This window comes from Homo sapiens, chromosome 8 (genome assembly GCF_000001405.40).
Source record: "Homo sapiens chromosome 8, GRCh38.p14 Primary Assembly".
Classification (NCBI taxonomy): Eukaryota; Metazoa; Chordata; class Mammalia; order Primates; family Hominidae; genus Homo; species Homo sapiens.
Window position 1 is genome coordinate 117,253,369 of NC_000008.11, and position 25,163 is coordinate 117,278,531.

The 25,163-nt window shown below is 37.3% G+C and overlaps 2 long non-coding RNA genes across 6 annotated transcripts in view; one reads left to right on the top strand and one right to left on the bottom strand.

Annotated features, from left to right (window-relative positions):
- LOC105375716 (uncharacterized) overlaps nt 1-25,163 on the bottom strand; it is a 436,284-nt gene that overhangs the window by 168,932 nt on the left and 242,189 nt on the right. The gene's annotated exons all lie outside the window — the stretch shown is intronic.
- The window catches only part of LOC105375717 (uncharacterized), a 37,330-nt gene continuing 32,552 nt past the window's right edge, over nt 20,386-25,163 (top strand). The window contains exons 1-2 of the long non-coding RNA XR_928573.3: nt 20,386-20,472; nt 20,977-21,058. This is a non-coding gene — a long non-coding RNA (uncharacterized LOC105375717). The remainder of the gene's footprint in view (nt 20,473-20,976; nt 21,059-25,163) is intronic.

Below are 25,163 nucleotides of genomic sequence, written 5' to 3' on the forward strand. Positions count from 1 at the left end.
TAACCCCAAAGGTAGCAGAAGAAAGTAACAAAAATCTGAGAAGAACTGAATAAAATTGAGGCCCCAAAATCTATATAAAGGATCAATAAAACTAAAAGTTGATTACTTGAAAGGATAAACAAGATTGAAGGACCACTAGCATTAGCAAAGAAAAAGAGAGAAGATCCAAATAAGCACAATCAGAAACCACAAAGGTGGCATTTATAATCGATCCCACAGAAATACAAAAGTTCCTCAGAGACAGTTAGGAACACCTCTAAGCAAACAAACTAAAAATCAAGAGGAAATGGATAAATTCCTGGAAACACACCATATTCCAGGACTGAATCAGGAATAAATTGAAACACTGAAAAGACCAATATTGAGTTCTGAAATTGAATCAGCAATAAAAAACATATCAATGAATAAAAGCCCTAGACCACATGGATTCACAGCCAAATTCTACCAGATGTACATAGAAGGGCTGGTACCAATTCTACTGAAACTATTCCAAAAATTGAGGAGGAGCGACTCCTCCCCTAACCATTCTATGAAGCCAGCATTACCCTGATAGCAAAACCTTGCAAATACATAATGAATAAAGAAAACTACAGGCCAATATCACTGATGAACATGGAAGCAAAAATCCTCAACAAAATACTTCCCAACTGAATTCAACAGCACATCAAAAAGTTAAATCACTATGATCAAGTAGGCTTCATTCCTAAGAAGCAAGGTTAGCTCAACGTATGCTAATCAATAAATGTGATTCATCATATAAACAGAATTGAAAACAAAAATCATAGGATCATTTCCAAAGATGCAGAAAAAGCTTTCAATAAAATCTGCCATCTATTCATGATAAAAACCCCCAAGAAACTAGGATCAAAAGAACATACCTCAAAATAATAAGAGACATCTAGGACAAACCCATAGTTAACATCATACTCAATTGACAAAAACTGGAAGCATTCCCCTTGAGAACTGGAACAAGACAACGATGTCCACTCTCACCACTCCTATTCAACATAGTATTAGACATGCTAGCCAGAGCAATCAGGCAAGACAAAGAAATAAAAGGCATCCAAACAGAAAAAGAATAAGTCAAACTATTTCTCTTCACAGACAATATGATTTTACAGCTAAAAACCCTGAAGACTCCACCAAAAGGCTCCTGGAACTTATAAATGACTTCAGTAAAGTTTTAGAATACAAAATCAATGTACAAAAACCAGTGGCATTTCTATATATCAATAATGTTCAAGCTGAGAGTCAAATCAAGAAAGAAATCTCATTTAAAATAGCCACAAAAAGTACCTAGGAATACATCTAATGACGGAGGTAAAAGATCTCTACAAGGAGAACTACAAAACACTGATAAAATAAATCATAAATGACACAAACAAATGAAAAAACATTCCATGCTCATGGGTTGGAAAAATTAATATTGTTAAAATGACCATACTGTCTAAATAAATCTACAAATTCAATGCTATTCCTATCAAACTACCAACATCATTTTTCACAGAACTAAAACAAATCTATTCTAAAATTCTTATGGCACCAAAAGGAGCCCAAATAGTCAAAGAAATCCTAAGCAAAAAGAACAAACCTGGAGTCATGGCATTATCTGACTTCAAACTATACTATAAGGCTACAGTAACCAACCATCATGGTACTGGGTACAAAAACAGACACATAGACCAATGGAACAGAACAGATAACCCAGAAATAAAACTTCACACCTACAGCCATCTATCTTTAACAAAGTTGACAAAAATAGGCAATGGGGAAAGGTTTCCCTATTCAATAAATTGTGCTGGAATAGTTGGTGAGCCATATGCAGAAGAATGAAATTGGACCCCTACATTTTACCATATGTAAAAGTTAACTCAAGATGGATTAAAGCTTTATTTGTAAGACCTCAAACTCTAAGAATCCTAGAAGACTAACTAGGAAACACCAAGAGCCTTGGGAAAGAATTTATGACTAATTCCTCAAAAATAATTGCAACAAAACCAAAAATTGACAAGTGGACCTAGTCAAACAAAAGAGCTTCTGCACAGCAAAAGAAACTATCAACAGAGTACACAGATGACCTACAGAATGGGAGAAAATATTCACAAACTATGCACCCAATGAGCTCTAATATCCAGAATCTATAAGGAACTTAAAGCAACAAGCAAAAACCAAATAACCCCATTAAAAAATGGGCAAAGGACATGAACAGACACTTCTGAAAAGAAGACATGCAAGTGGCCAAGAAACATATGACAAATGCATCACATCATTACTCATCACAGAAATGCAAAATCACAACTCGATAACATCTCACACCTGTCAAAATGGCATTATTAAAGAGTCAAAAAACAATAGATGCTGGCAAGGCTGTGCAGAAAAGGGAGGGCGTATACACCATCAGTGGGGATGTCAATTAGTTCAGCCACTGTGGAAAGCAGTTTATAAATTTCTCAAAGAATTCAAAACAGAAGCATCATTTAATTCAACAACCCTATTACTGGGTATATATCCAAAAGAAAAAAAACTATTAGATCTCATTTGTCAATTTTAGCTTGTGTTGACATTGCTTTTGGTATTTTAGTCATGAAGTCCTTGCCCATGCCTAAGTCCTGAATGGTATTGCCTAGGTTTTCTTCCAGGGTTTTTATGGTTTTAGGTCTTACGTTTAAGCCTTTAATCCATCTTGAGTTAATTTTTGTATAAGGTGTAAGGAAGGGGTCCAGTTTCAGTTTTCTGCATATGGCTAGCCAGTTTTCCCAACACCATTTATTAAATAGGGAATCCTTCCCCCATTGCTTGTTTTTGTCAGGTTTGTCAAAGATCAGATGGTTGTAGATGTGTGGCATTATTTCTGCGGCCTCTGTTCCATTCCATGGGCCTATATATCTGTTTTGGTACCAGTACTGTGCTGTTTTGGTTACTGTAGCCTTGTAGTATAGTTTGAAGTCAGGTAGCATGATGCCTCCAGCTTTGTTCTTTTTGCTAATTAAACTAAAGAGCATCTGCACAGCAAAAGAAACTATCATCAGAGTGAACAGGAAACCTAGAGAACAGGAGAAAATTTTTGCAATCTATCCATCTGACGAAGGGCTAATATCCAGAATCTACAAGGAACTTAAACAAGTTTACGAGAAAAAAACAAACAACCCCATCAAAAAGTGGGCAAAGGTTATGAATAGACGCTTCTCAAAAGAAGACATTTATGCGGCCAACAAACGAAAAAAAGCTCATCACTGGTCATTAGAGAAATGCAAATCAATACCACAGTGAGATACCATCTCATGCCAATTAGAATGGTGATCATTAAAAAGTCAGGAAACAATAGATGCTGGAGAGGATGTGGAGAAATAGGAACGCTTTTACACTGTTGGTGGGAGTGTAAATTAGTTCAACCATTGTGGAAGACAGTGCGGCTATTCCTCAAGGATCTAGAACTGGAAATACCATTTGACTCAGCAATCCCATTGCTGGGTATATACCCAAAGGATTATAAATCATTCTACTATAAAGACACGTGCATATGTATGTTTATTGCAGCACTATTCACAATAGCAAAGACTTGGAACCAACCCAAATGCTCATCAATGATAGACTGGATAAAGAAAATGTGGCACATATACACCATGGAATACTATGCAGCCATAAAAAAGGATGAGTTCATGTCCTTTGCAGGGACATGGATGAAGGTGGAAACCGTCATTCTCAGCAAACTAACACAGGAACAGAAAACCAAACACTGCATGTTCTCGCTCATAAGTGGGAGTTGAACAATGAGAAGACACGGACAGAGAAAGGGGAACATCACACATTGGGGCCTGTTGCGGTGTGGGGGGCTAGGGGAGGGATAGCATGAGGAGAAATACCTAATGTAGATGATGGGTTGATGGGTGCAGCAAACCACCATGGCACATGTATACTTATGTAACAAACCTGCATGTTTTGCACATGTATCCCAGAACTTAAAGTACAATTACAAAATAACAATAATAAAGAAACTATTCTACCAAAAAGACACATGCAGTTGTATGTTCATTGCAGCACTATTCATAACAGCAAAGATATGGAATCAACCTAGGTGCCCATCAATGGTGGATTAGATCAAGAAAATGCAGCACATATGCACCATGAAATACTACACAGGCACAAGAAAGAATGAAATCATCTCATTTGCAGCAACATGGATGGAACTAGAGGCCATTATCTTAAGTATATTTCAATACTTTGGGATTATATTGATGTTTTCATAAAAAGGATACTAGTTCTCTACATATATTTATACTTGTTACTGATCAATGTGGATGCATTCTCTTATCACATGTTAAACTGTTTCTACACTTTTTTCTCCTTGTTTTCTATCTTCTATTAGAATGTTCTCTTTATTCATTTATTCTTCCTTCACAATGGTTTGGAAGTTTTATAATTTACAATGAGTTTCTATTTAGATTTTAAGTTTTTCATGTTGAGCAAGTTACCTAATCTACGTATGAGTTTTCATATCTCTAGAAATGAGTTGATGAGAAAAAAATTCTTAACTGAGTTTCTGTTAGAATTAAATCAGATAATATAGCTAACACATTCAGATATTTAGCATATTGTCTGACTCTCAGTAAACAATCAAAGTAGATTGTGATGATGATGATGATGATAATATTTTGAACCTTTGCCAAAAATGATCTGAAAATCTTTCCAGACATTCAACTAACAGACAATTTTTGAGAAATAGATTGTATTGCACTAGTGCAATAGTGTAGTTTATTAGTGTGCAGGGAGTTTAATTATGTGCCTTCCTGCTAAAGCCTTTAGTGGGAAGTTGAAATATCAGCACTGTGGGAAATTGATTGATTAACTCAATCAAGATCATCCTCAAAGATGACTCCAAAAATATATCTGACAGCTTGTGGCTGAGGAAATCAGTCAGACTTCAGGAGTAGGAGGAGACAGGCAGAGAGATCATTTTCTTTTAATGATTTGTTCTGTATAAGAGAGATGGTATTTGATAACCCCATGTGGAGAGTCCTTCCTTTTGTGTGTGGAGTTTTGAATATATCTTTTTAAAATTCACTCCAAGAAGATTTTCTATTCAACCTCTGGGGCTTATGGGTATTTATTTGCCCTTCAGGATGTACTTTTTAACATAGAATATATACCACAAAATAAACTGTAATTTTAGTGGAAATGCACTGCAGAAAGGTCATTATGAAGCACTGGTTCTGAAATAGTGAAGGGTCTATTTCACATAACGAGGTAATGGAGGCACAGACCACTGCCTGTGCTTTCCAGTCCTGAGATAATAATTACAGATACCTAGGTAATGTACCCGGGACAATTGCAGGGCAGGGCATCCTTCTTTTTCTCCCCTTGTTCTTGACTAAGTGGCTTACCAGTCAGACTCATGAAAAGAACTGAGAAAAGACCCCCAGTGGGTACTCCATTTTTCACCTCTAGCAAATGTGCCTGTGCACGTGCGTACATGCCCGCCCCCACTCCCACACTCACTCTCTCTCTCTGCTCCTCTGAGTCTCTATTTCAACTGCCAGTGTCAAGAAGAAAGTTGGCATCTCACAAGCCACCTCATTACATTCTAGGGCTGCACTAACAGTTAAAAAGATAAAATCCTAATGCTGTCATTCCAAATTTTAGTTAGACCTAACAACTTATGTCATCAACTTTTTATCAGCATGCCTTCTGTGTGCTCATTTAAGACCCTGAGAAAATTTTAGACAGGATAGAATTCAGAGCAGAGCTTGTGATACATCATTAAAGACATATTTGTTAATCTGTATGCTTCAGGTATATTCATTGTAAGAAGCTAAAATTTAAAGGAAACATTGGAATGTTTCACTGAAAGCATTTCGATGGCTCTATGTCATCTCCATCAGTGTCACCTAAAGTGTGGTCTATGGGCTGGCGTTGGACTGCAATTGTTCATTTTCATTCAGCAACAAGATAAGTACAGAAATGAAGAATAAGTATAGTTACTTGGAAGAGTGGTTTTATGTAGTTTAATCTCATAATTAAAGATTTGGGTACTATGTCATTATTTTTTTAATTATTCATTTTAATGTGTTTTACAAAAAGATTGGCCTGTGAAAGAATGAAAGTTAAAAAGAAAAATGAGTCTTTTGCCAAAGCAGTTTGCTAAATGTTGAACTATAGGGTTAAGTCCCAGATCTTGGTATGATCCACAAAGTCACTGATGTCCTGGTCCCTGCTCAATTCTCCAACCTTAGCACCTGCCTCTTCCTCTCCCATTCACAGCACTGAGATCTCACCATATAAAGTCACATGTACTGGTCTTTTAGAAATGCTGGCCCCTCTGCCTAGAATGCTTTTATATTCTTAGCTGGCTGCTAGATTTCTACTTATCAGTTGAGCCCAGCCTTTCTGTGTGAGTCAAAGCCCTTAGCTGCAAGTGACAGACACAACTCAAATGATTTAAACAGGAAGGACATCATGGACGGAGATGGGGCTGGCTTCACACTCAACAGGATCCAGATACTAGAACAACAAGAACTACTTCAGTTATCTCTCTCTCTGTGTGTTTCTTCTCCTCACTCTCTCTCTTTCTGACACCCCTACCATGCTCTAGTATTACTGTTTTACTCAGTTTTACAGTAGACAGGCTTGCTCCATATAGCAGAAGACATTGTAGAACCAGCTATGTCAACCTAACTTAACAACACAAGAAGAAAGGGATGTCTTCCTTGGTTTCAGAAAAAAATCATCCTAGAAAGGATTCATATTGTTTTCAATTGTATTAAGTGCTCACTTTTGGCCTTTGGAAGGATTTCTGTGGCCAAGGAGAAGGGACATTCTCTGCAGTTCAATTTCCAACCTTCCACTATAGAGACTGTTTTAAAATACAATTACAATTTTATCTCTCTCCATCTTTTGGCCCTCTTTTTCTCCTGCATCTACAGGAAGAACATCCTAGATATTTTGTACTGCTGTTTCCCACCACTTTTACTGGAGGAGTCAAAAAATGCAACCATTTCTTGAATCTGTGTCTTTCATATGCTGAAACAGCCTTCTCCCAGCAGTTCATGTCGCGAATCTCTAAGCATCTCTTAAAATTGACTGCAATGTCGCCTTCTCCGCAGGTTTTCTCTGATTATCTCTAAATAAAGATACTACTTACTCATGGAGACTATTTTACACTTCATATACTTTTGTTGGTGTATCTCTAATGTTCTACTATAATAACATGTCTTTCTTTTATAATACATTTTCTACTAAACTCTGAGCTTATCCAGTTGTCTAGCATAATGTTTGGCACATAGTAAATGTCAATTTTATGTTTGTTGAAATAAATTATAGCACTGATTCTTCTTGTATTACAGATGACCTGTTTATATACCTTCCTTTCATACTAAAGTCTGAACGTAGAGAAGTCATCATTGCATCCTCAGGAATTCACACACTGCTTAACATACAGTAACTGAAGAGAAATAAAAGATGAATAATTAAATGAATAAATTAAGTGGAAAATGAGTATATTTGGATTGCCCTTAATGACTGTACCAAGGCTTCATGTGCTAAACAGAGTGGCTGGTCTTGTGGGGTCACCTGGGCCTTGTTTTTCAGCCTCCCTTTCTTATAACTTATCATATGACATTGAGTACAAGACAGGTGAGCAGGGGCTACTTAGCTTACAGAGACAGAATTGGTCATTGGGCCCTGGGCCATAGCTGAGGCCCATGACTACATCCTAGTTCTACTCAATGTTTGTTAAATAACTCCTCAGGTCAACTCACTTCCCTTGTAGTCCTTGGGATCTAAAAGGCAGGGATCTTCTACTCTAAATTATTAGCTGGCTACAAAGAAACATACATCTCTAGAGGAGCTGTTTATACAGATTCTCTCAAGGCATAAACAGCCAGCTAGCGATCTGGTTCTGCTGATATTTGCCTCAGGAACTGTGTATATATCTTGCATATGGGGTTAAAGTGGGCAGCACAGAAAGGAGGAGCCATGGGAAGGGTGGCTCACCATTGTAAATAAGAACAAAGTCTGACCATGATAACCATTGCCATGGTGACAGCCATTTCTATGTCTCTAGAGTACACACAACTTATCATTAGCTGTCCCTTCCACAGTGTCAGGCTGACACAACCAGAGGAGTCTTTAATGTCTCAAAGCTGCACACAATAGAGGGTTACACCTTAGCCGTTTATTTCCGTTAAGCAAAAGCTAAGAACAATCTCTTATGTCCCTGTTTTCTGGGATTCCTCATCATGTTGGGAGACTGGAAAGCAGACATATTTGGTGTAGGGCCTTGATGTGTCTTGTTTGAAAAAATGCCACGATCTGATTAGAAATAATCACTTTGGAAGGGACTTTGTAAGAGTAAGATATTTTTGTTATTCTTGAGCATTCTATCTTTTATAAAAATGCTTGATAATTAATACTTGGTAATCTGTTGATCTCTTGTAAAATCCTCTAGAGAAGGTCCCTGTTAAGTTCACTCTTTGATCAATGCATAAACAGGAACAGATCTGTTTCAAAATATGCTTATTGTGTTAGCATGATTGTGCATTATAATTTGCTAGAATGATCGTGACCTCTACAATAAAATTGCATAGCAGAAACATTATTTAAAACTTTGGAATAGTTATTTAACTATATTTAACTACTATTATTCATTCACCTCTTATGACTACAATTATGAGATTTCACTATACCAATAGGATCAGATTTGCTATGTTGCCTAACCCACAGCTGATACTCAAAAACATTTATTGAATAAATAAGTAAATTAACAACAACAAACCTGTAGGTGTGTGATTATAAACACAGCGGCTGAGTGAAATCCCGAGAAACATAGGAAATGAAGGCAAACACTATATCCAATCTCAAATATTTGCTGTTTTTCAAATATGTTAGGCTGCTCAACCTTCAACATCTTGGAGCATGTTGTTCTTTCTGCCTTGAATGTCCTTCTATACTTTGTCCACCTAATAAACTCCTACACAATCAATTCTGTGCTCACCTCTCCCCAACCTCAGCCTCTCTTACCATCTCAACTAATGGAAGAATTAGTGATTCTTTCCTGCACATCACACTATAAATTGTAACTTCCTATCAGTGTTGATTCCACTAACCACACGGGACAGGACTGTCATGACATCGGCACTTAGAACTTCATCCGGCTCTCTCAAGGCCAAATTTGTCTTACTTAGCTTTATATTTTCAAGGCCTGCATAGAGTTAGGACTCAATAAATGTTTCTTTGAAAAAGTAATTTCAGTATACAGATGAGAATAAGATTCACATGCACCCAGAATTCATACACTGGAGGCAGAGGAGCATTGACTCAAATCCAAATTATTTAAAGTCACACAGCACGTAAGTGGTGGCCTCTGAAGACCTGCTAAGATTGGAAACTGGCTCTGTCTAATGCCAAAACCCATGTTCTTTTTGCCATATTGTGAAGTACGTCTGGGGCTGTGGAAGTGGACTGGAGCAAGGAGGAAACGTTCCTGAAGTGGGTCATTGGATTTAACATCTGTGAGAGCCTAGGAAGGGGCTGGTCCAGAGAAGTGATCGTAGAAGCAGGGAGAAACAGAAATACAATGCCATTCCTCAAGGCTCCATAATGCCTAGATTTCACATGCCAAGAGAGGATTCCTGGTATAGCTCTTCAAATCATTCTCCACAACCAGTATAAGAAAGCAAAGGCATGCACTCTATTTTGAAACAAGACTGTAGTAAACTCTGAGAGAAATTCAAGTTTTGCTTCCCACTACATTCAGGCACATAGCAGGCACTTAATAAATACTTGGTGAATGAAAGAACATAAACCCAAAACAATTATGTGGCTGGAGTAAAATTTCTAGCTCTCCTTATGAAGTTGTGGGATCTCAATTTTTAGTTGGGTTTATTTTTACCTTAGAGTTAGGGGAGGTGATGGAGGTAAAAACAGAACTTCTCTGAAGGAATGTGATATGGCTTGGCTGTGTCCTCACCCAAATCTCATCTTGAATTGTACTCCAATAATTCCCATGTGTTGTGGGAGGGAACTGGTAGGAGATAATTGAATCATAGGGGTGGTTTCCCCCATATTGTTCTCATGGTGGTGAATAAGCCTCATGAGATCTGATGGTTTTATCAGGGGTTTCCGCTTTTGCACCTTCCTCATTCTCTCTTTGCCTGCTGCCATCCATGTAAGATGTGACTTGCTCCTCCTTGCCTTCTGCCATGATTGTGAGGCTTCCCCAGACACATGGAACTGTAAGTCTAATTAACAATCTTTCTTTTGTAAATTGCCCAGTCTTGGGTATGTCTTTATCAGCAGCATGAAAAAGAATGGTGCTTGTTTTGAATGTTATTCCTACCATTTGGTATAGTGAAAAGGAACTTTTCAGGAGTTCTCTTAAATACTTCACATCTCCAGGCAGTGGTACTTTAATATCTTTTAAAATATGAAAAGCTTTTCCCCCACAGTCTTCCACCTGGCTCTATCCCCAGGGTGACTTGCTGAACTGCACAGCATCTCTGCTGCACCTGTGTTTGATCTTGCAAGCACTGAACTGCAGTCCTTGGGCCTTGGACTAAAGACAACTTTCAGCACTTACATAAAGCTACTTTGAGCACTCTGCCAAGGACTTGGGAGACACTTTTTTCAAAGAAACAAATACATTTGGTTTCTGGAGGTAGCAGAAAGCCAGGCCAATTTTTTTTCCTGCCTTTTCTTTGTCTCTGTCTCAGTCTGAGATATAACTAATTATATACAGGGGCTAAGGGAGCAGCCACCAAAATCACTTCTTCACACAGACTATGGGCTACAAGGAAACCTAGGTCAGCATTGTCTTCCAGAAATGCAAATTAAAATAATAGCTTCTGTCTGCATATCAGGGATCACAAGCTTGAAAATATGATGGCAATACAGGAAGTACAGTTCACAAGCTCACAACTGGAAAAAATGTACTATTTCTTCTTGGACAATAGAAATCTATTTTCTGAGGCTTTGAGCATTGTCCCAGAATGCCTTCAATGTTAAATCTCTGAAGTGTCTACATAAAACAAGAAGGTCTGGGTGCCTGGAATAAACTTTCTTTGGCCTTGAAGACAGTCTGAGTACCTGGTTTCCTAATAGCAGCATTGCAGTCAATTCCAGGGCAGAAGCTATACTCAATTGCATGCTGCATCCTAGATGTACATAAGCAGACTGTGTTACTAAATTTAATACATGCACCAGGGCTGGTCAACATCTACGAATATAAAGGCATATGTCTGGTAGAATTTTGTATAACCTCGGTGGAATCAGTTCATATAGGAATGAATATAAATGGAGAAATCTTCAATGGACTCTCTTCTCTACCTATTGGCATCTTGATACTTTTCCTAGCCTGATAGCAGAGGTCATCCTACCCTAGTAGTATTTCATTACACATTTTTTTCTGATCTCACATTACATTTCAAATTGCATAACTTTTCAATAATGAATTCTCTGCATGTGTACATGTGACCAACACTCTACTAAGAGCTTTACAAATATTTTTTATATTCCTCATTCATTCAAAAACTATCTATTGAGCACCTACCATATGCCATGCATTGCTTTAGGCTGTGGTGATAAAGTTTCACAAAGCTTATGTGCAAGTGCAGAGACACAGAAAATATCAACATGTAGCTCATTAATTCCAGAACATAAGTGATAATGAGAAAATAAATTCAAGTAAGGCAAAATAAGTTTTAGGTAAGGGCATTTAATGAGGGCATTTAGGAAAAGCCTCTCTGAACAGCCACCTGAATTATCAAACGCATGAGTCATGCAAAAATCTGGAAAGAGATTCTTCCAAGCAGAGAGGACAAGGAGACCAAAAGCTCTTACTTGGTTCCAATTTGGTGCATTTGAGAAACGACTTGAAACAAGTCAGGAAAAAAATAATAGAAGATGAGGTCAAACAGAAAATCAGAAACTTAAACGTGTTGGGCCTTGGAGACCATGGTAAGGAGTTTGCATTTTATTCTAAAGATAATGGAAAGCCTACTTGTACATTTTATTTTATTTCACACTTTTAAAAAATTGAGATAAAATATGCACATGAAATTTACTGTCTTTACCATTTAGCTATGTATTTTAAATATTACACTGGCCATGGAGTGGAAAATCAACTACAGAAGGCAAGAGTAGAAAGAGACAGGATGCTCTTGCAATTCAGGTCAGAGGTGATGGGGTAGCGAGGTGAATTTGGGATGCCTTGCATAGCTAGTGAGTCATGCTCATTTGATCATGCAGTAACCCTTTCAGATGAAGACACTGAGATGGTGGGGTAGAGTTGTAATGTATTTAAAGGTGAATTGAATAAGTTAACCTTATAATAATCCAGAGAGGTGAAAAATAACTGATGATAAGGAAGCAAGCCTCTATTGCAAATTCAAGAGAGGAGTTGGGGCAGCTGGGTAGTTAATTTGTGTGAAAACCTCTCATAACCATTTTCTTCAGTTACTATCTGGAAATTTCCATGAAAAGTTTCTATTTTGGTTGATTCTTGCAGACAAGGGCATCATCATTCCTTCACTTGATGTCTTTTTACCCCAAGGAACACTCAGAAACTCAACATTTTGTTTCTTACTTATTTTGATTGTTCACTTTTCTGTTTGAGGTTTGCTTCTCTCTCCTTTGCTGATGAGTCACCAGAAAAAAAATGCTTTTACAAACTCCCATAGCTGCCTTTTTTGCTCTGTGTTGACAAAGAGAGAATGCTGTTGGGCAAAATTTGATGTAGCTGGCTGTTTGTTTTCTTGGAGGACCCAAAGGTGAATATAAATAATTTAAAATAGCCTTCAATGACCACTGTGTCAGTATCTGGGTTACAAAATTAAGTAATCAAGCTAAAATACAAGAAAAAGAAATATAAAAGAATTTGAAGGAAAACCTAAGATTTGATTTGGCGTAACACACATTTATTGAGCACTCAATGTTGAATACCCACAAAAAAAGAGCTAAAGACCTACACTTACTGAGTGTCATGTGCCTATATACACTTGAATCCCGAAAAGACAATGCAATGGGTACAATTATTATCATCATTTTCTACATGAGGAAATAAGCAAGTTTAGAGACATTAGAGCAATTACTCTAATCCCATAACTAGAAAATGGCAGAGTGGGCCTTGGCTTGTGATGGCCTGATTCTAAGGTCCTGTTCTCAATGACCAGAGGGTCTGCTTCTCAAATAAGAGGCCCTTTAGGAGTTCACTATCTGGTGGTGCACGATAAAAGAAAGCTATTGTATTATCTGTTTTCACACTACTATAAATAATTTTCTGAGACTGAGTAATTTATAAAGAAAAGAGGCTTAATTGACTCACAGTTCTGCATGGCTGGGGAGGCCTCAGGAAATTTACAATTATGGCAGAAGGTATACATACTTACAATTAAGGGGAAGCAAGTACCTTCCTCACAAGGCAGAAGGAAAGGGGGAGTGGAAGTGCCACACTTTTAAACCATCAGATCTTGTAAGAATTTTATCACAAGAATAGCAAGGGGGAAACTGCCTCCACAATCCAATCACCTCCCACCAGGTCCCTCCCTCCACACATAGGGATTATGGGGATTACAATTCAAGGTGAGATTTGGGTGGGGACACAGAGCCAAATCATATTATTCCGCCCCTGGCCTCTCACAAATCTCATGTCTTTCTCACATTTCAAGACACAATTGTAGCTTCCCAACAGTCCCCCAAAGTCTTAACTCATTGCACATTCAATCCAAAAGTCCATGTCCAAAGTCTCACCTGGGTCAAGGCAAGTCTTTTCTTCCTATAAGCCTGTAAAATCAGAAGCAAGTTAGTTACTTCCAAGATAGAGTGAGGGTACAGGCATTGGGTAAATGTTTCCACTCCAATTGGGAGGAATTGGCCAAAACAAAGGGACCACAGGCCTCATTCAACTCTGAAAGCTGGCAAGGCACTCAGTAAGTCTTAAAGCTCCAAAATAACCTTCCTTGACTCCAGATCTCACATCCAGGGCATGGTGATGCAAGGGGTTGGCTCCCAAGGCCTTCAGAAGCTCTGACGCTGTGTATCTGCGGGGTTCAGCTCCAGCAGCTGCTTTCATGGGCTGGTGTTGAGTGCTTGAGGCTTTTCTAGGTACAGGGTGCAAGCTGTTAGTGGATCTACCATTCTGTGGTCTGGAGGACAGTGGACCTCTTCTCACAGCTTCACTAGGCAGTATCCCAATGGGGACTCTGTATGGGGACTCCAAACCCATATTTCCCCTCTACCTTGCCGTAGTAGTGGTTCTCCATGAGGGTTCCTCCCCTAAAGCAGACTTCTGCCTGGACATCCAGGCATTTTCATACATTCTCTGAATGCTAGGCAGAGGCTCCCAAAGCTCAGCTCTTGTCTTCTGCACACCCATATGACCCGTACAATGTGGAAGCCACCAAGGCTTGGAGCTTGCACCCTCTGAAGCCATGGCCCGAGCTGTACCTTGGCCCCTTTTAGCCACAGCTACAGCTGGAGCAGCTGGGTCACAGGACACCATGTCCTGAGACTGCACAAAGAAGTGGGACCCTGGGCCCAGCCCATGAAACAATTTTTTCCTCCTAGGCCTCTGGGCCTGTGATGGGCCATGAAGATCACTGAAATGCCTTGGAGACATTTTCTCTATTGTCTTGGCTATTAACATTTAGCTTCTCTTTACTTACGCACATTCCTGCAGACTGCTTGAATTTCTCCCCACAAAATGGGGTTTTCTTTTTTACCACATGATCAGTCTGCAAATTTTCCAAACCTTTGTGTGTTGCTTCCCTTTTAAACGTAAGTTTCCTTTTCAGAAATCTCTTTGTGAACTCATAGGACTGTAAGCTTTTAGAAAAAGTCAGGTCACATCTTGAATACTTTGCTGCCTAGACATTTCTTCTGCCAGATACCCTAAATAATCTCTCTCAAGTTCAAAGTTCCACAGATCTCTAGGGCAGGGGCAAAATGCCACCAGTCTCTTTGCTAAACCATAGCAAGAGTCACCTTTACTCCTATTCCCAACAAGTTCCTTATTTCCACCTGAGACCATCTCAGCCTGGACTTAATTGTCCATATCACCATCAGCATGTTTGTCAAAGCCATTCAGTAAGTCTCTAGGAAGTTCCAAACTTTCCCTCATCTTCCTGTCTTCTTCTGAGACTTCCAAACTGTTCCAATCTCTGCTGGTTACCCGGTTCCAAAGTTGCTTTCACATTCTCAGGTATCTTCATAGCAATGCCCCACTACCTTGGTACCAATCTACTGTATTAGTCTGTTTTCACACTGCTATAAAGAACTACCTGAGACTGGGTAATTTATAAAAGAAAGAAGTTTAATTGACTCACAGTTCTGCATGGCTGGGGAGGCCTCAGGAAACTTACAATCATGGTGGAATGTGAAGGTGAAGCAAGCAGCCTCTTCACAAAGAGGCAGGAGAGAGAGGGTGGGGGAAGTGCCACACTTTTAAACCATCAGCTCTAATAAGAAATCTATCATGAAAACAGCAAGGGAAAACTGCCTCCATGATCTAATCACCTCTCACAAGGTCTGTCCCTCCACACATGGGGATTACAATTCAGGATGAGATTTGGGTGAAAACACAGAGCCAAACCATATCAGCTATTAACAGCCAGGAGTGATTTGAGGGTTATTGAGCAAAGTTATCTGGAAGAGCTGTCATTTATGGTGGGATTGGAACAAAGTATATGATTTAAATAAGAAGCTATACCTTATCTTAGGCCAAACCAATGGATAAAAAGTAAGGAATCCAGAGTATTATATAATGAATTTTTTCTCTGGGTTGCCAAGGAATAATTTTTGCATATGTATTTATCTTAACCTTTATATATAATCTACAATAGCATGTATATTAGACATATAAAAGCATTATTATATATAATATATAAGATACATTATATTATTTAATATAAAATATAGGTTATATATAATTGATATAGATATACAAACAATTTTACATATTATAATTCTTTTTTTTTTTTTGACAGAGTTTCACTCTTGTTGCCTAGGCTGGAGTGCAATGGCACCATCTTGGTTCACTGCAACCTCTGCCTCCTAGGTTCAAGTGATTCTCCTGCCTCAGCCTCACAAAGTAGCTGGGATTACGGGTGCCTGCCACACACCCAGCTAATTTTTTTTGTATTTTTAGTTGAGACAGGGTTTCACCATGTTGGCCAGGCTGGTCTTGAACTCCTGACCTCAGGTGATCCACCCGCCTTGGCCTCCCAAAGTGCTGGGATAACAGGTGTGAGCCACTGTGCCCAGCCTACATATTATAATTCTACATTATATTTGTTATACATTTGTGATCTATAACATATTGATATTCTATTTCACTGCGTACTGTATATATATTACATATAAATATATTTTATATATATATATACACACACGTCTTTCATAGGTTTGACTAGTGGACTTGGTTTAAATGACTGAAATTAGGAGTTACGATTTTCCATAATTTTTGTTAAGTCCCTTGATTTCTCAGTTATCATGTTCCTTCTCTAAATCATGAAAAGCCTGAACTAAATAAATATTTCTAGGGTCTTGAATTTGACATTTATCAAAAAAACATACAAATGGCCAACACATATATGGAAAAATGCTTGACGTCACTAATTACAAGGGAAATGCAAATTAAAACCACAATGACAGATCATCTTACATCTGTTAGAATGGTTATTATCAATAAGACAAAAGATAACAAGTGTTGGTGAGAATGTAGTGTACAAGGAAACCCTTGTGGAATTTAAATTAGTATAGCCATTATGGAAAACAATATGAAAGTTCAGTCACTCTTCCTAGACTGTGAGCTTTCTAAGATCAGGATTGGTGTCTTACTTACTTTCAACTCTAGTGTCTAGCCTATAGTAGAAGCCCAATGAATGAAATACTGTTTCTCTTGTAAAATATTCTGTTTTAGATTATTCCATCTCAATATTTATTGAAAAATACCACTCAGTATATGCTTCAGTCCTCATTATTTCAAAATGGTTCATTTCCAACTTGATAAAAATAAACAGTTCATGTTAATTGAGGTTTAGATTGAAATCCCTTGTTGGAATGTTGCTTAAAAGGCTTCATAATTACTACACATTTATCCTTTCAACAAGAAATCTCAAAACAATTTACTAAGAAAGCTATTACTTCATATTTTAGGCTGAGGTACAAAGAGATCAGCAACTTATTAAAGGTTAAATTATTCACTGATTGGGACTTGAGCTCCTCAGCCCCAGCCTCACAACTTTCTGTATAAACCCCCAAAGAGCAGGCAAAGGAAATGGTGTTCATAGATTCTGTGTACCCCGTGTACTTAGCATAATCAGTTCACCTGTGTCAATTTCATTACCGTTTATAAATAGGGATGCTGCCTCATGGGAAAAGAAAAGCTTCCCTACTCTTTCCATCTTCAAGCAGGGTAATTCGCTATTCAAATCTATTCTGAAAGGGTACAGAATTTATTTCAGCCGGCTCTGAGAAAGCAAAGAGCTCCCTGCAGAAACAGCCCCTCTAGGGTTTGATCGGGGTTGAAAGTATCCTAGGTTGGGTGTTACACATCCCTCAGCCATTCATTCTGGCTGCCTTCTTCATCAGAACCGTGTTTGAAAATCCCTTTATCTCCCTTTGACCCTGCTAGGCTGCTACCCAAAGGAATATACTCTAATCCTCCTCAGCCTGTCTGGAGAGATTTAGCTCTCAGTCAAAGGGCTTTCAAAGAAAAGATTTTCAGCAGTCCTGGAAGAGAAACGTATTGTCTATAAAGAAATTGGTCACATTTACTTGTTTTTGTGAGTGACTTGGAGATGCTTTGGGAAATTTATATACGTAATATATATACATCTATATCATATGCATATACATACTAAACATATGTATACATATACATATATGGATATTATCACTTCAATATTTCACTATTTCAGGGAGAAGATAAGTCATAAATTTGTATAGACTTGAATAAAGCCAACTCCTTGTTCCAGAAGAGCTTGAATTAGGGGATATTCACACCAAAAAATGCTCTTTTGTTACTTTCCAACACAGAAGTGACTCAGATTAAAGAAATTGTGCCTAATGAAAGTCCTAAGGAAATTTGCTTTCATGCATAGAAAAGAATTGCCTAAAATTAGATTAACTGCATGATAATATAGAACAAATTTTCTTGAGGGCACTTTAAAATTTGACTTATCCTCTGTTTCTTTATCATTTAAAATATTTCTTTCACAAACATATTTACACTTTTAAATTGCACACCGTTTGTGTCTAAGAAAAGAAACAAATTGTGTCCTAGAAATAAAACGCACTTTGGAATCATACCTCAGTGCAATTCCCACCTGGCCACTTGCTGGTTAGATGTACTTGGAGTGTTTTGTAACCTCTCAGAAATCTCAGATTCCTTTTCTGTAAGAATGATGAGAAAATGCTTTTCTTGAGAGATTGTTGTGTGAATAAGATAACTAATGCACGCTGCCTGGCAGTTGGTAGAAATTTTAAAAATGTTGCTTTCCCTTTTTAAGCCAAGTCTTGTCCCAGTTTCCCTAAATGCCAAAATAATTGAATTAAGAAGTTATTTACTCTGTGTTATTTATCTCTTCCTGTGCTCACTTATCTCCTTCTGTGTATTCCCCATGGTCTAGGTATTTCATATATGTCTAACTAACTTCTCTAATGTTCAGTTTTTAAATTTGAATTGTGGTAAATTAGAAAAGAAAAGAGTTAACTTTTGTACTTTTCTTTGGGAGGAAGAAATGTCAAATGACAATTACTGGAAAGCAGTCACTTTTTCCCCGTAACTCCAACACTATTACTAATTTAAAGACATTCAAACTCACAGTTATATGAGTCAAATGGTAGAGACATACCTGAATTTGGGGATTAATATGATGAAATAAAGCATATTAAATTTTTCCCATCCCAATACATTTCTGTCTATCAGCTGTGAGACTTGAAATAGAACATCTGAATTCTCTGAGAATCCAGTTCTTCAATAACAAAATGAGAAAGTATTATTATAGGGATTGAAATCTGAAATCACTGCAGGGACCAGACAGACATTAATGAGATAAGTGGGCCAGTTGAGTATAATATTAGTTTCTAGTAGCTAATTCAAATTATTTTTTTAAAAGTGGCCCAAACAGTGACCTCCACTTCAGAGGTTCTTGTCGGTTTCTTCCTGATAGGATTTAAACCTTATTAGAAACAGTCCTTGTCTGTAATAAATGACTTTAATAGATTCCCTTTCACAGAGCTCAATTTGTCTAATATTACAGGGGTCTTGTGAGAATCAAAAATTCTCAGAATTTTTGAACAGTGGAGATGATCAAAGATATAGTGTATCTGTACAAAACCATAAGAAGGAGGGTGATAATGGAATGTTTCTGAAAGGTCATTTTGAGATCATAGATAACATTGCATTGCTTTCAAGGAGGAAATTTCAGTTCTTTGATATTGGTGACTCCCTGGAATTCTTCCCTGGACTTAGGAAACTCAGCATTACATGCACAAATAACCAATTTGTCTTGATCCTCTCTTCTTTCTCCAAAGGGACATATGACTATATGCATCTTTAAAGGAGAAAATATACATAATTTGAATATCTAATTGGCTGCCCTGTTTTCTGAACTAGAGAAAGGGCAGAACCTGTGTACTTTTATAGGCTTTATCATTCCCAGTGATATTGCACTTAACATTTTTAAGTGAATACTTGATTTTTAGTGATTTATAACCTGTGTATCTTTTTCTGTGAAGTGTGTTTATATGCACATAATTACTCTCATTCAGTGACATTAGAACTTACAGAAAACGAAATACATCACCCTGTCCTGACTAAACAAACAGTAATAGCTGGCTTGGAAACTGTATTAACTGAGCAACCCTGTAATATAACTTTCGAAGCCAATCTGTTTAATAAGACAAGACAGGAAAATGCACTTTTCAAGGATTCTTATTGGTGGTAAGAGAGTGTCTAGGAAACTAATAAAGCTATAATACAGTAACAATCACTTTATTATTAGATGTTAAAGAACATCAAGGAAGATTTATATCTTCTTTTAACTTTACCCTGAGACAGTTTCAAATTCAATTGCTGGGTTGTTTTAGAGTAAAACAGAAGTTCAAGAGGAGAATGCCTTTGAACAGGCTTATGAAAATTTGGAGTAGGTTTAATCATCTTCTGCTTTCTCCCAGAAGATTACTGACATGACTTAAGCAGCAGCATGTACACTGATTTCATCTTCAGAGAGGAGGAGAGATACTAAAAGCTCGTTATGAACAAATGCATTTGCATCAGCCTGCTTCACATTCAGAGAGTGAGTGCAGATGCACAACACAGAATCTGAAACAGAGCATTTAGAATGTAGAACATGGTGTGGCTTCTAATGTAATAAACAGAATTCTTAGAGCCTCAGGCTGTTAGCATAAACGAGCTACTTCCTAACTGCAAACTTAACGCCCATGTTAAATAACTTTAAAATCTGCATGTGTATATGAGTAAGTAGTTTTTGAGTGAAAACCAGTGGATTCCTCTGTTTGGGGATTTATGTGCAATGTTTTTATTTTCTGAATATAGTCCATCTCTCGCTTCTTTGCTTTTCACATCCTGATTTCCAACCAAGCAAGACTATTTCCAATTCCCTATACACTGAATTTGTTTTACCCTTACTTTGAGCCATTGATAACACTTTCTTATATTTCTAGAATGCCCTTCCTACACATTCGGTAAGCTTAAGTCTTAATTATCCTTTAAGGCCCAATTCAAGTATTAACTCCTTCTGAAAAACTTCACTGATCTTTGCAAATGGAAGTAGCATAACTCTTTTTGAACATTAATAGCTTTAATATGTGCATAACGGTACCACTTTGTTTTATAGTATAGATATATATATATATTAATACATCATATTTCTTATTTCCCTTACTCGCTCCTCAAAGGCAGGACTCCAATTCAAGTTTGTACCTTTCACAGTACTGAAAATACCCTTTTATCCTTAATAGATTTCTCAGAAAATTCATCAGAGGAACTTAAAATTTCAATCACTGTTATTCTTTGGTATGGAGAAAAAAATCTTACATGATGGTAAGTTTTAATTCATTTATTACACAAATATTTATTGGATGCCTGCTGAGTACCAAACTCTGTACTAGCACTGGGAATACACAGATGAACAAGATCACTTATATTCTACTGAATAAACAAGAAAACAAATAGAATTGTAAATAATATCCCAAATTAAAATAAGATAATGTGATGGTAATGACAAAAGGAAGCAGTCTGTTATCTAAAACATCAGGGAACAGACATAACATTACAAGAAGAAAGATGAGATGAAAGAAAGGTACAAAGCATAAAATTTGACATATGTGTTAGTCAGGGTTTGGACAGGAAAGTAGAAATCATTCCAGACATTTCAAGCAGAAAGGGATTTAATACAGGGAATTAGAGGCTTTGAAAACCTTTGAAAAGGCTGGGGGATCAGAAGTTAGAGATTGTACCATCTAGCATTTGGAAAACCAACACTTAGAGGAATCGAAGGAAACTGCCAACGAAATGTGTAACTCTCGGGTGGACACCTAAAAGCAAATACAGGTGATGTTACAACAGGCTTCTATACTGATAGAAATGATCCAGGAGATAGGAATACACTGAGAATGCAGAGAGAAAGGTGTAAAATTTCAGATGTATATTCCCTGCAAAGTCTACAGGGGATGGGACCTAGAGTACAAGTGGAGGTGCTGACCTTTGATGGGAGTGAAGACATTTCATCTAGAGGTACACGGGTAGGCAGAGGATACTGGAATAGATGCAGGTGGCATTGTAAGTTATGGAGTAGACAGAGGAGTGTGTTCCTTTCTGGTAGGTTCTATTTTATTTCCATGATGTATGTGAGGATGAGGTGGAGGAGGGTATTTCCCTGAAACTTTTAAGGAAGTCAGAGACTTTGTGAAGCTTCTGGAGTAAAAAGACCCCTCCCTGTTCTTGCTTGCGATTCAAGCTTTCCATGTGTCTTTTTGTGCTGTTTCTTGTTTACCTACTAAAAAGAATAAAGATTTGAGTACATTAGAAAGTAATATAAAAACGAATAAAAGCCAGTATAAAGAAAAGTAGACAAGACAATAGAAAATGGATTCTGATTTATTTTTAAAATGTTTTAAAGACCAATAGAGACCTTTTACTTAAACTGAAAGACCTGAAATAAATTAATAATGCCCTGTGGATAAACAGAAAACCCTTTGCCTTGCCCCTTAGGCAAGAGTTTGAATTCCAAAGATGATGATAATTAAAATGATGATGATAATGACGCTGATGATGACATTTTTTTGAGCACCCACTATGTGCCAAGCACTTCATATAGAATTAATTTTCCATTTAATTATCTCAATGCTCTATTTTATAGATAAAGAAACTGAAACACAGAGAAGTTAAGTAACTCATCCAAGTAAATAAAGCTGGTAAGCTTAAAACTCTAGACATTGACTCCAGAGGTCCCTCTCTTAATGACTACAATTTATTAGCTCCCATTTTCATGTGTGCCTGTATCATAGACACACAAAGCCGTCTGTTTATCTGACCTGCAAGTCAAGCCAGTCTTTCTTGTCAGCTAACTGGAGACTGACCAGACAAGGGTTATGTTGGAAAAAAACAAAGCCGCAGGATTCACGCAGACTAGGGTAGGAATTACAGATTGGCCACATACTCACCACTCATCTTGAGAAAATCATTTAATTTTTTTGAGTCTCAGTTTTCTTAGCCATAAAGATGGAGAAAATATCAATGCCCTTACTAGCATTAATGGAAAGATTAAATGAGACAATCTTTGTTCAGCTTATGGAAGATTTCTTCCTTTCTTGTCAATGTGAATAAAATGGGTCCTATTCATCTTTATGTTACCTAAATAATCTACTAAACACCTTGCAGATAGTGTTTAATAAATATGAGACAAGGGATGAATGGATAGATTAATGGATCATCATCTTAAGGTTATGGTAGCTTTAAAAAAAAGAAATAAAAGAAAGGTATAGGTGGGGAAGAGGTATATTGACTCACTGACTATCTATTATGCCTGCCCTAGCCTCACATTTCTTAGCCCTTTGCAGTAGGGCAGCACAGTATGACCAGTTTTGGCCAATGAGCTGTAACCATAATGATGTGTGTGACTTCGGGCCCAGATATTTAGGAGCCATTGAATGATTATTGTAGATTTCTCTTGCTTTGCTGCAGCAATTGTGGAGTACCTAATTCAGACCAAACAGCCACAGGATGGGAGCAGCCAGGATGACTAAATCGCTATTGGTAAAAACTGGCCCTGTAGTTAAAGGATTCCCAGATTTTGAATAAGCTATGACTTTATTGAACTAATTTGTTTCTGCAGCATAACCAACCTTATCTTGCCCCATATAAAAAGCTAGGTTTTTTTTTGTGGGGGGCGGGGCACAAAATCATCTTTCTGACATACCAAATTGTTGAATTTCAAACTGAACTCAAAATCATTAGAAAAAATGTCAAGGATAAAATAAATAAATAAAATTTCAACAGAGAAAATGCTTTGGATAAAATTTGGTGGTTTCAATAGCTTAATAGAAGTTACTGATGCTGTATAAAAACACAATTTAAAAGGTGTCATCTAATTAGCTGTAAAATTTGTATTTTGGGGTATTAGAATATTTTGTTGAACCCCATCTTATTATATACTTCAGAATATCAGGTATAAAGAGATCTCAAAGGACATAGAGTATGACCTCTATCTTACTGATGAAAAAACTTGAGGCTTAGAGTGGTTAATCAAGTTCTCATGGTGACTCAGCAACTCAGGGGCAGAGCTGAGCTAAATACCCATCTGTGGCCCCTCACCATCATTTCAGCTCTACACTGGAGACTTTTTCCATTGTTTTGATTGCCTCATGATATCTGTGTGCTCTGAAAGAGTTAATGTGCCTTCCAAAGGGCTTTTTTTAAGCTCTGCAGAGAGCCAAACTGGATAAAAGCCAGCAGAGTATTCTGTTCCATCCTTCTTGAGGGTTCTTATCCAGAAAATGATAGAAGATGGAAGTTATCCAGAGAGGGTCTCAGTGAAATACTTGTAGGAGAAAAATAAAAAAGAATTCTAGCTACTCAATTTAGAAATTTACATAAGTCTTTCGAATATTGATGTCAGTGAGGTCAGCAGTTCTCTCAGGAGGGTAATGGGATCATGCCTTAATTCTCTTCATTTTTTATTTTTGAAGTTCTACCACTTGATATATCTGAGTGAGTCAGCAGAAAGTGAATCTTGTTAAGGAGATGGTCTGTGAAATGCAGTGTTTATCACATGGTGATTACTTATCTGTTTGGAGCACTTTTCAAAGTTTTCTGAAGTGCCTAACTTTCTCTTCCCTGATTCTTTCTGCTTCCTTAAGAAAATTGTTCTAAGGCCCCTATCTAAAGTACCTAGCATATGCCTTCAAAAAACTCCAGAGATTTGGTTATGTACAATAATAGGAACAGGTGTTAATTCTACATATTTGTCACACTTCAGATTTTCAGAAACTCCTGATTAATTTTGGTCTTTGGAATAGCAAATGTCTTACGTGTAAAAATAAAGCAAAAAAAATAGCCTGTGGTTACAAATGTTGTCTCCATGAAGGCATCCATAATCATGAGAGGAAGTATCTCATGATTAGTAAAAAGCTGTAGTTTCCCAGGAGAGTATGGAATAACCATTATAAGTATGTTAGATTTTTGTGTTTTGATTTAGTTTTCTTATTTAGTTTGTTATGAGTTTTATCAATGAAAAAAATCAATTAATTTCAACAGATAGAGAAAAATTAATATGGCTCTTTCAATAATTATTACTGGCATTTCCAAATCATTGCATACTGTTTAATTCCTGAGAATCCGATTGAGGCTTTCCTATCTCGAGTCAAACAAGAACGTGTATTCACATCCTAATGTAATTCTGCTATCAAACTTCTGAATGTTTGCAAATTAAAAAGATGAAAGTATTTCAAAGCTTTCATTTGCTCTGATTATTAGTGATATTGTTAGCGCTATTAAGCATCTTTTTGTATGGGTGTGTGGCCATTGTGTTTTGTCTTCTGTGATTTGCCTTCTCCTGATTTATTTCTTACCTCTTTGGCTTGTTTTTTTTTTCCCCATTGGTTTACAGGATTTCTTTAAGCATCATTACCTTCTTTATGGGTAGGTG